The sequence below is a fragment of the Homo sapiens genome, chromosome 8 (assembly GCF_000001405.40).
Source record: "Homo sapiens chromosome 8, GRCh38.p14 Primary Assembly".
Lineage (NCBI taxonomy): Eukaryota > Metazoa > Chordata > Mammalia > Primates > Hominidae > Homo > Homo sapiens.
In genome coordinates, this window is record NC_000008.11 from 112,237,390 (window position 1) to 112,249,669 (window position 12,280).

The 12,280-nt window shown below is 34.1% G+C and overlaps 1 protein-coding gene across 10 annotated transcripts in view; it reads right to left on the bottom strand.

The window, feature by feature from the left end:
- CSMD3 (CUB and Sushi multiple domains 3) overlaps positions 1–12,280 on the bottom strand; it is a 1,214,012-nt gene that overhangs the window by 14,462 nt on the left and 1,187,270 nt on the right. For all 10 annotated transcript variants that reach the window (NM_001363185.1, XM_017013010.2, NM_052900.3 and 7 more), the window contains 3 exons: positions 9,631–9,742; positions 7,005–7,184; positions 4,331–4,396 (listed from right to left, as the gene is read on the bottom strand). In NM_001363185.1, coding sequence (NP_001350114.1) covers positions 4,331–4,396; positions 7,005–7,184; positions 9,631–9,742 — 358 coding nt within the window. The remainder of the gene's footprint in view (positions 1–4,330; positions 4,397–7,004; positions 7,185–9,630; positions 9,743–12,280) is intronic.

Here is a 12,280-nt window from a genome sequence, read left to right on the forward strand (position 1 = left end):
CCATATAAATATAAGCATTAAATAGAGTATTAGTTTATTGAATAATGATGTATTGCTAATACACAATAATGTTGAATGTGTGTTACAAAATTAATTCTTCATATAAAAATGTTTCCATTTTTTAGAATAAATCCACATTGTAATAATCTAGATTTGTTCATATGTTATCGAGAAGAGAGAAATAGAAAACACCAGTTAAAGATATTAGGTTTATTTTTAGAACCCAGGTAAATATAAACTTCACTTATCTTTGGTCTTTTATGCAATATATTTCTTTCTGAAGGAAAATAAAATGATTTCACAGCACCATGGCAGTAAAACTATACCCAAGTCCCAAGAGGCCTGCTTTTTTTCCAGCAGTGGGAATAGATTTTTAAGAGGAATAGCAAAGAGAAAGGTCCTGCAAAATTATCATGAGACAGTGCTTCTGTGTTCCCCCTTACAGAATACTGAGTTTAGTTCTTCTAATAACAGGTGCTCCTGAAGAAGAACAGGGCTGCACCATATTGATAGCTTTGAGGTATACAGGTATTTTTAGAAATTGTCACTAGTATTGTTGGACTCTCAAGGATGAGAGATGAATTGTGGTAGAATCAAAGAACATTCTAAAGCTTATAAAATTTTCATCTAAAGAAAAAACACTATTTTAGATACTAGCCAAAAAGACTTATTGTATTTATATAAATTATTTATGTAATTTAAAGTTATATAAATTGGTTATGTCAAAGTCTACACAGCTCCTGGGCAGCAGCTGAGAGAAGCTGAGGTATAGGATTAATCCTATACCTCACAGCACAGCACATCCCTAGAAATCAGCTATTCAAGGTACCCAACCCTCTTTGGATGAATGACTGAATGAAGTGGATTTAGGAAAAAGTCCTTTTTTTTAATTTGTCTAACAAGTTATTGATGATTTTTCATCTGATATATGCATGTATCACACTTCTTACCAGTCAGATCACAGGGATTGCCATGACAAGCTGTGTATTCCCTGAATTCTATTAAACCAAGAAAGCAAAACCACTGTGGCAGATCAGCATAAAAATACCCTAAGAGTTGAGTTTTTACTGAATATTTCAGTAACAACTAAAATTTCTATTTCCATGATAATTTATAAGCAATATAGCTCCTTACTTTGATACCACTGCCAACTTCCATTCTTATCACTTTGGAGTAATGTAATCACTGTGTCTCATTCATGATTTTAAATGAAATACTGCTGAATGTTTTCTCATATAACATGCTATTTGCCATATAATTTTTATAAATAATTTTACTAAAATTTAGAGTTTGTTAAGAATTTTTAAAAATTATAAATTTTTAAATTTATAATTTAAAAATTATAAGTGTTGAATTTGATCAAATACTTTCTTTGCAAATATTGCAATTATCATAATTTTTTGCACTTTAATCTCTTAATGTGATACATTACTTTTAAGGATTATTTAAAACTAAAACATCCCTGCATAGCTATGAAGAATCCAGATTGGTTCTGATGGGTGTTAAAGCAAACTAAATATGGCCTGAGAAGGACTCCATAGTTCTATATTTGAGTCCTTGTAATGAACTTCAATCTAACTTAATAGGTAGACAAGATTGAAAACCTAATTCAGGAGTATGCACCTGTAACAATAGCTGAGCCTTGGCCAATCCCAGCAGCTGTACTTCTACTACTCGTACACTGCTGAGTGTTCAAAATGTGTTCAAATAAGGCAAACACAGAACTGTAACCAATCTAGTTGTTTCTGTCTCTCCCTTCTGATTTCTGTACGTCACTTCCCTTTCTTTGTGTATAAATTTGTTCTGACCATGAGGCATCCCTGGAGTCTCTCTGAATCTGCTGTGATTCTGGGGTCTGCTTGATTCACAAATTGTTCATTGTTCAATTAAACTCCTTTAAATTTAATTCAGCTAAACTTTTCCTTTTCGCATGGGTTATCTTTACTACAATGTTGAATTTGATTTGCTAAGATTTTATGTAAGATTTTCTCATTTATAATCCTGAGTCAAATGGGCCTGAAATTTTTCTCCCTTTATAATATCTTTATCCGAGTTATTAGAGCTATGTTGAGCCTAGAGAATGAATTTTATTGTCCAGAAGAGTTTTTATAAAACTTGAAAGATCCATTCTGTTCCTTTAAAATGTGGTGGAACTTACCAGTAGGGCCACATAGACCTCATTTTCTTTGTGGAAATAATTTTAACCAGTTCTTTATTTGCTATAAAATTATTCACATTTTCTTTTATTAGTTCTAGTAAGATGTAGTGTTCTAGTAATTTGTCTGCTCTGTGTAAATGTTTTTAAATGTTGATAATTATTGATAGTTTTCCCTTAACATATTTTGAATTTCATTAATCTACTCTCTATGTAGTTATGCTCACATTTTCTTTGTTATCTTATTTTTACCAGAAATTTTTCTACTTTGTTTCTGAAAAGAACGACATTTGGTTCTGTTGAGATTCTTCTACTGTTTTGGGCGGTTGCCTGTTTTTATTATTACATTGATTTCTGCCCTGCTACTCTGTTACAGTCTTAATATTCTCTTAATAGGGACACAACTAATTAATTCTGAGGCTTTTCTTTTCAATAATGTAAGGATTTAAGGCTACAAATTTCCCTCTTAACTTTCCTTTTCTTATAGCCCTCAAGCTTTGATATTTCAATTTTTCAAAATAACTACATTCTAATATATTTCTGTGTTGATGTCTTCTTTAATTCATGAGTTATTTATTATTACTAATTTTGCTCTGAATTTCCAAACATACAGGAATGTTTTAAATTACATATTTCCTCATTGAACTTTAATCACATCCTAGTCAGATATGAGCTATGAAGACTAACTTTGCGTTTTAAAATTTGTTTAATTTAATTTATTATTTAATATATGAGCAATTTTTTTACAGATTTGATGTGCTGGAGCTATTATTCAGAGTTTCCACCTGGTCCCAAATCAAGCATTTCCCTTGGAAAATTTGGGGCATTGATGGACAATTATGGTTTTCTGACTCCATTGCAAACAAACTCTGCCTTACTTTTATGTATTCTTTGATTGCCTCAATGGCATTCAGCATGTTTTCGACAAGTGTTGAATGTATCAGTATAAGTCACAGAGCTTGGTGGTCCCTCCACTTTTATAGCATGTACATGGAGCACTTCTAAACCTCACTAAAATTAGATCCTAATGTAGTTCTTGGCCCAATACAACTGAGAGAAATCTGTTTCCAAGGTGAAGATCAGATATTATGCTCTTATTGGCAGCTTTTAAATAGTATCACATAAACAAAATACTAATACTGAATAAGCATGATATGGTTTGGCTCTGTGTCCCCACCCAAATCTCAACTTGAATTGTACTCCCATAATTCCCACATGTTGTAGGAGGAATCTGGTGGGAGATAATTGAATCATGGATACTGTTCTCTTGGTAGTAAATAAGTCTCACAAGATCTGGTGGTTTTATCAGGGGCTTCTGCTTTTGCATCTTCCTCATTATCTCTTTGCCCGCTCGCATCCATGTAAGACAGGACTTGCTCCTACTTGTCTTCCTCCATGATAGTGAGGCTTCCCCAGCCATGTGGAACTGTAAGTCCACTTAAACCTCTTTCTTTTTAAATTGCCTAGTCTTGGGTATATCTTTATCAGGAGTGTGAAAACGAACTAATACAAAGCAATTCATATATTGAGCCCTTACTATGGGCTACGCACTCTGCACTTCATTTGCATGAAGCTTATTATATAATTATTTAATTATTATTTCTTTTGGATAGAAAAAGATATGGAGATTCAGATATATAAAATAATTTTTCCAAGGTCACAAGTCAGAGAGTATATAAAATGAGATACATCAAGGTTGTAGGGCTTTAAAGTTTATGTTTTTATTGATTGTGCTAGGTTTTCTAATTTGCTTTTTAAATCAAATAACTGAAAATAAACTAGTCAATTTCTAGAAGTTACCGATCTTTATTCTCATACCAAGTGTATTTGGATCCTTTTAAAAACATATACATTTAAAAATGTTAAATAAGACCTCATTTTTATTTTAATATTTTAAATGACAGTATTGCCATTATGCTATAGTCATTTACAGATACTCTTCAAGGGAAATTTTAATATTTTTAGCAGACGGAACTATGAACAATACTTTTGGAATACTAACATGTCACTGTATTACATTGCTTTAAATTCAACATCTTGTGAATTATCAAATTCAAGACAGTCATAGTTTTTTATACTTAAATATATTTTTTAAATACACAGTTACTATGCCAAGAAAATAGTAGACCATTTTTAGAAATAATGAACTCTAGAAAAACAAATGACATTACTAACCACTTAGCTTTGGGCTGGGTGTTCCCAGTGCAGGTCTAGGATCTTTCACCAATATTTTAGAACCAGCTATGAAAAGAAATAAAGGTGTTTACAAAAGTTGATGCAATTAATTACATACACATGCGCACACACACACACGCACACACACACACAGTGTGATGCACTGTCCATTTTATTCTCTGACATTTCACATAGATAGTTTTCTCTAAAATGTTCCGTTCATCACAACATCTCAGTCCCCTACTCAGCACTCGTTATGCAACTAATGATTTCAATAATTATTCCCATTACAGTCTATTGGCACAAGGGGCAGATTTGTGTTGCTTTATCATCTTGGGATGTCATTTCTTATTTTAGAGGCATAAGCCAAAGTGGAGACAGTTGCCTCCAACATGGAAGCTGAGAGCTGAGAGTTGTTTTTGTTGACAGAAAGCAAAAACTATTTGGGTAGGGTTTACATTTAAAAATCAAAGTTTGTTGAGATAATTAAAGATGTCACCAGAAATTGGATAGACTTAAAGGTGAAATCTTCCAGGTTTTAAACCAAAACCAAAGGTAGTCCAAAACCAAATAAATCATGTAGGATGTAGAAGTGACTGGAATATTATAGGAGCTATGACATGAATGCCTTGTAAACTATGTATCCTAAGAACAATGTAATGTCTTAAAAGACTGTAAAGGGATGTGATTTCGGCAAATGTTGCTCTGGCTGCAAAACCAAGAAAACTTTGGAAAGCAGCAAGTACGGATATGGCTAGAGAAGTTGAGAGACACTGCAGTAGTCCCAGTAGAGATAATACTGAGTTAGAGTATGATAGCAGTGACAATAAACCAAAAAGGGGAACAGACGAAAAAGCTATTGAAATTGTGGTGACTTGGAGGGATAGGAAAATATCTAAGGAGATTACTAGATCTCATGTGTAACTATAGGATGGTAATATCACTGAGATAGGGAATACCAAAGGGAAACTATATAGATAAAAGAAATGTATGAGTTTAGTTTTGCATGTATTGAGTACTGAAATGCCACTGAAGAATTTCACTAGAGATATCAAGCAAACAATTGAATATGTAAGTGTGAAGCTAAAATAAGATAAATAAGCCAGAAATATTAGTTTGTAAGTAATCTACATAAGGACAGCTGTTGAAGCCACTGGTTTGAATGACATCACCTAAAAGTGAATACGAGATGAAAACAAGAGATGGCTAAGTACTGCATCTTTAGAAAATCATAAGTAGAAAACAATCAGTGTATAAAGGAAATGGAGAATGGATACTTAGAATTAGGAGGGAGTAAAACATTTACTCATTCAACAAATATTTATTGAATGCTTTTCACATGTAAGGTACTGATTTGTGTTAAAATTACAGTTGTAAACACTTTGAGTGAAGTCTCTCATGAGATTATATTCTAGTTGAAGAGGGGTAGATAGGAGGACAGGAGAGTGGAAGCAGATAATTACAAGCAAACAAACCAAAGAATAAGATCTTCTCATACTACAGCGATTTCAATCATAAAAAAAAAATAGAAAGAAAAATAGCAGAGGAATGTTCTGATAAAGAAAATGAAAACATTTCAAGTAAAAGAAAGTAATTGTCATTTATGACAGCTGCATTAGATAAAACATTAGGTCTTACAAATAGGTTTTTTGGATATAAGGAAATGGATTTTGTTGATGACCTTACCAAAAACACTAGAAAAAGTTCCTTTACTCCTTCTTCTGGCATTATAACCCTTTTCCAAATGGAAATTGTCCTGACCGAGCAGCAATCGGTGGACACTTCACCCAGATCTGGTCCAAATATTAATACCATATCACCCTGGCTGAGTAATGGATTTGGAGATGGGATCCATTCAAAATTGTGGCAAATAGAATCCCAGATAGTGCTTTCCTGACCAAAACTTTGGGAAGGACTCTTTCTACTAGGGTTACTCTGGCAGAGTAATCTAGGCATTAGGGTAGCAATTCTCCGTACTCTAATGAATAGTGTACCCACATAATTTATGTTCACCTGGTACCTCTATGACCTTATTTGGAAAGAAGGTCTTTGCAAATGTAATTAACTAGAGATCTTGGGATAAAACAATCCTGATTTTAGGCTGAACCCCAAATACAAGGACTGGTATCCTCATAAGAAGAGGAGAGGCCACACAAAGATACACAGAAAAGAAGGCCATATTGAAATGGGGTAGAAATTGGAGTAAGGCTAGGAGCCAATGAATACCCAGGGTTGTCAGAAGCTATGAGAAGATAGGAAGAGGCAAAGAATGGTTTCTGCTTAGAGCTTACAGAGGGCACAAGGTCCTGCTGACACCTTAATTTTGGACTTCTGGACTTCAGAATTGTGAAGGAATAAATTCCTATTATGTTAAGCCGCCCAGCCTATGGTACTTTGTTATAAAAGCCCTAGAAAAATAATATACCTACCTGAAGAGAGAATTTGAAGATAGAATTAAGGCAAGAAGTAACATTCTCATGGGAAAAAAGCTATGAATAGACTCATAAAATTTATATGCCTCTGGATCCAGAAGTGTTTACATTACTCCTAGACTTGGAGTTAGCCAACAAATTTCCCTTGTTCCTATGCTAATTTGAGTTGAGTTTTTGTCTGGAGCAAAGGAAAGCAATAGTGCAATCTCTTGTGTTAAAAAGATTCTATAGAGAAAACTTACCTTCACAAATGGGAACTTTTCCAGTCCAGGTGTTATCGGATCTACACACTCTATGTTCTGTTCCACCTGCTAAGAAGAAGCCAGGCTGACAGGTATAAATCAGTGTATACCCATGAGATGGAAGGTCCATCCCTACGACATTTGCATGAGCAGGAGTTTCTGGCTGTTTACAGCTGTGGGCTATATTAAGAAAAGAGAACAATGTAAATTTTCTATAGATATGTTAAGAAAAATTTGAGACAGGAGTCACAATATATTTCAGATATACTTCAATGCCTTTATATACATATATCTTAGAATAATTATTCTAATAAATCACAAAAATGTTTCAATGCAAATATACTTATTGATTTCATACTTTAGCATTTCCTAATCCACCATTTGTGGAACACTAGTAGATGTTAATAGATGTTAAATAAATTGAGAAAAAAAAAGACATTGTCAACAACTAAGCTCAGAAATGTATGCTTTACCATTTTAGAGAGTCACACATTCCAGAGAGTCACAAAAACCAGCATTTTAAAGGATCTGTGAAGTTCTGTGGTAAGATACCTTTTAATGTTTGTCAAGCTCAGGTTTTCTATATGAGTTTAGAAAATATTATTTTATAAATTTTAAATGTATTATATTTATTTTAAATTAAAAATCTATTTTCTATTGTTAAATAAAACCACAGCTAATTATATTGCTCTGGTATTAATACTTCCCAATAAAAGTACATTTTAATAATTTTTTTACATATGGAATTTTCAGGCCATATTTGGATCCATATGCTAGAAGTATCATTTTGTTCACCTAACTCTCTCTCCTTTTCTCCATGTTTCCTTCCACTCCTAATTCTCTACCTTGATTACACCATATCTTCCCCTTATTTCATCGGTTTTATGTCTTATAAAGACCATTCCTTTCTCCGTCAGAGATAAATGCTACAAGAAATTTTTCCCCTGAAACAGATAGCATTTTTTAATTATTTGTTCATAGATATACATCCATAAAAGTGATCTCTGAAAAAAGTGTTCTGTGGATAAATAAAAAAAAACAATATTTTTCATTTGTTTCTTAATGGAGGTCCATAACAGTATAAATAATAGCTAACATTTTTTTACTCCGTGTGCTAAACATTGTGTTAAATGGTTTTTTGTTTTTGATTTTGTTGTTTTTGAGATAAGAGTTTCACTCCGCTGCCCAGGCTGGAGCACAGTGTCATAATCTCAGTTCACTGCAGCCTCCACCTCCGGGGTTCAAGCGATTCTCCTGCCTCAGACTCCTGAGGAGCTGGGACTACAGGCACCTGCCACCACACCCAGCTAATTTTTTATATTTTTAATAGAGATGGGTTTCGCCATGGTGACCAGGCTGGTCTCGAACTCCTGACCTCAAGTGATCTGCCCACCTCGGCCTCCCAAAGTGCTAGGATTATAGGCGTGAGCCACCGTGCCTGGCCTAAATGGTTTATATTTAATATATTGCAGTTAGTGAAATGTAATCCTCATGCAGTAAGTATTGATAAGGAAAACTACAGTCTGTCTCTACTGCCATCTTAAGCCCTATGTTATGGACACATTAGAAACTTTGAGATGCTTCACAGTGACAGACGCTGTTTAACTTTATTTAAACTATCATATCCCAACTAGAGGACATCAAAGAACAATGGTTTACTGTGAAATACCTAGTTACAGCCCGCACAGCTGTTTTAAAGTACACATTCTGAGGAATTCTCCTTTAAGGAATTTTCCATATTTAAATATAAGCCAACAAGGCACATAACATGGCATCTCTGTGGAGTGTTCTCCTGCTTTAAAGTAAGCTGCTGGTCCCTAGGTGCCCCCACAATCATTTGGATGGTTCTGAACAGGGATAGAGTAAATTCACAGGGCTTGTGTATGCTTCAGCAAATCCTAAAAGCTAGATACCATCCTAATAAGTGTTTCCACTCCAGCTTACTTTTTTCCATTTTTCACCAAGAAACACAATTGAAAAGATAAGGGAAGAGATTTTTTTAAAAGGCAACTGGAGAGAAAGAAAAGCCAAATAGCTGACCAGCTAGAATTCATTTCTAATTGTATGTCAGAAAAAGTTATTTAGTGGCCCCAGGCTTTGTTCTTATTTAATCTGTATAGCAAGTGCTCTCCACTGAGGATCAGAGAACATATAAAGGAAATTCTAAAATTGTTCTCAAATTTTTGGCCAAGTGCCCATGAATATTTCCTTTCATAGATGTTGTTAGTTTCCCCAGATTCTCAGATAATATTTTCACAAGCGATTTTTAAAAATTAGAAGCTGTTAGATTGGTTCCTCGGGTATTTTAGATTACTTCAGACTGATAGATGCAGATCTATAAACTAAAACCTAATCATTACCTAAAATTACCAGGTGGCAAAACTAAACATAAGGTCTTTACAAAAAGAACAAAATTGTGCCTTGTGCTTTCTGACTTACTTAGAGAGTGCTTCCCAATGGCCATGGGTTTATGATACAGTAATAAAATTATATGCATATAATATGTTTTATAATCTAAAAGTCAATTTGATACACATATAGATGTAAATGTATTTGAATACTTGGGAGAAAAAATGCATATAAATTCTTACCCATGATAGCATTATTTCTTATCCATAATACTTACGTATGCATTCAGGCTGAATCCCACTCCACGTAAGATCAGGGAGGCAGGTGCGTGTTGTAGACCCTTGGAGAAGGTGTCCTTTTTTGCAATGGAACTGTACAACACTTCCTACCTATAGCAAATTAAAGAGAGGAAAAAAATATTCCCCTACAACTTCAAATATGGCAACAAACAGAGCTTGAGTGAGAAAATGTTATCAAGTGAAATTCCGTATGGTAAAGTTGGAAGAAAAAAATAATTGAAATCTGATTTAAAATAAAATGGGAAAAATTCAAAACTAAAAAATAAAATCCTGGCTTTATTTGTTTACATATCATCATCAAATAGTTGGGTCCTTAGTACATACATAGAAACCAAGCTTTTTTGCCATGGGAATTTGAAGAAAATATTTAAGACACCAAAAAATCCAACAAGCTACATATGAATACAAGATAGAGAGATAGATAGTTAGATAAAGATAAATAAATGAAGCTTGATAAAAATATATATGGAAATAAATATAGCTAACCACATAAGAAACAAATAAATATTGAAGGTGAAAAATGCAATATGAGATTAGAGACAAAGGTGGTTACTGAAGGTGGTGGTGATAACGGAAATATACAATGGAAGATATACTGTTTGTACTAGCTTTTAAGGGTATAGTAATTAGGAGAATATCTAGGACAATGGCTTTCAAAGTGTAGTCTCTAGGCCAGTAATATCAATGTCTCCTAGGAATTTGTTAAAAATGTCAGTTCTGAGGCCTTACCCCAGACACACTGAATCAGAAACTGTTAGGTTAGAAAAACCAATAATCTGTTTTAACAAGCCCTTTGGGTGGTGGTAATAAACACTAAAGTTTGCAAAAGACTTACAGAAAAATGGAAAAGATAATAACATGATGAGAAATGTATGTTGGTTACAATATATATCATTTGCTTTAGGGGAAAACAGTATATTAGATTGATTGGCATTTATTGTTTACAAAGTGAGCAGGGTAGGTAGAGGTTTGGGATAAGTGGGAAGCAGGGGTATATAGTAAACAAGAAAACAAATCACCAGAGTAATGTACATGTAGTTTTAATTCTGGATCTCACTTTACTTGAATAAGTCATATCTCCTATCTCCTCTTTGAGACCTAATTTATCATTTATAAATAATGATGATAATATTATTTGTATTGAAATCTGTTTTAAGGATTAAATGAAATAGAATTTATACTCCACTCCACCCCAGGATGACACTCAAGTTTTAAATAAATTATAGGCATGATGACTAAATTGGAGACATAAGTAAGAATTAGTTTCCGAAGGGTCTCAAATGGCAGGATATGGTATTTAGAAGAATAGTAGTAATTCTAATTATGAGGCTGGCACTGCCATTTTACATTTGAGTGGATAAAAACTGTACTAACTTGTGGCAGTAAGCCTGGGGAAAAAAGTCATTTCCTCAAAACAATCACAAGAAAAAAATCAACAAGATTTATTGGATGATTAGAGGTGGAGGATGAGATAAGGGATATTTAGGGTCTGCCACTTTGTACTTCTCCAGCAATTGCAGTCTGAGAAGGCTCAATCACAGTTTTAGGACTTATCACTCAGATCCTTTTTTCTGCCTTCCCCTTAATTCCTACCCCCTCTTGAGCGGACAATAAGAAGCTAAGCTTAAGATGATATAATTTGATACCAAGATTCCATTTGAAACTTCAGACTCTGAATTCCACCATTTTTCATATTGTTATTATTACCCAGAACTATACTAGGCCAGAAATACTAAATTCCAAAATTCTTTATCTGACAACAACCTTTTTTCTTTATGTTATCTCATGCTGTGTCTTCCATGAACCCTCACCTTTGCCTCTAGAAGATCTCTTATCCCTGGATGCCCCATTTTCTCTAGGCTGTTACATGGATTGATTCCAAGAAGCACCATTTGCATTTTATTCCTTAAAACCAGAGTCCCCTGACTTGTGCTCCAGAGCACGCCTTTCACATTCTTTCTGAAGTTGTGCAAAATGGTGGTACAGGTTTTGATTTTTCAGTATGGGCTAGATTATGTTATATACAGTTTGCAGTTCTATTCTTCAGTCAAACCAGTTCTACAAAATCCATCATCTCTATCAATCCAGCAATCCTTCTTAAGGTTAGAACCCAGTTAATAGTGTCACTTGTCACTAATAAATTTTCCCTTCATTCACTTCACCACCAAAACTGGCAATTTTACCTTCTAAATCCTTTTCAAAGTATCGTCTTCCTTTTTTCTCCAGTTTACATCCAGTTTTACTCCCCAATATCTTTTCCATAGGCTTTGGTTCTCACTTTAGCAGACATCACAATCACCAAAAGGACTTTATGAAAACAGTGATAGCTGAGTACCCCCCTCCAGAGTTTCGTACTCAGTGGATCTGGGGTAGGTCCATGAATCTATATTTCCAACAAGTTCCCAGGTGAAACTGCTGCTGCCGGTTAGGCGCTACACTTTGAGAACTACACAATAGACAATTATAATAATCTTCTAATTTGTCTCCATTTCTCACTTCATGATCCACTATATTTATTTTCTGCCTTAAAGTCAGAGTGATCTATGCAACACGAAAGTTTGACCTTATTATTCACCCATTAGGATAAAGTTACATTGAGCTAACATGACAAAGGCCTCCATAACTGAG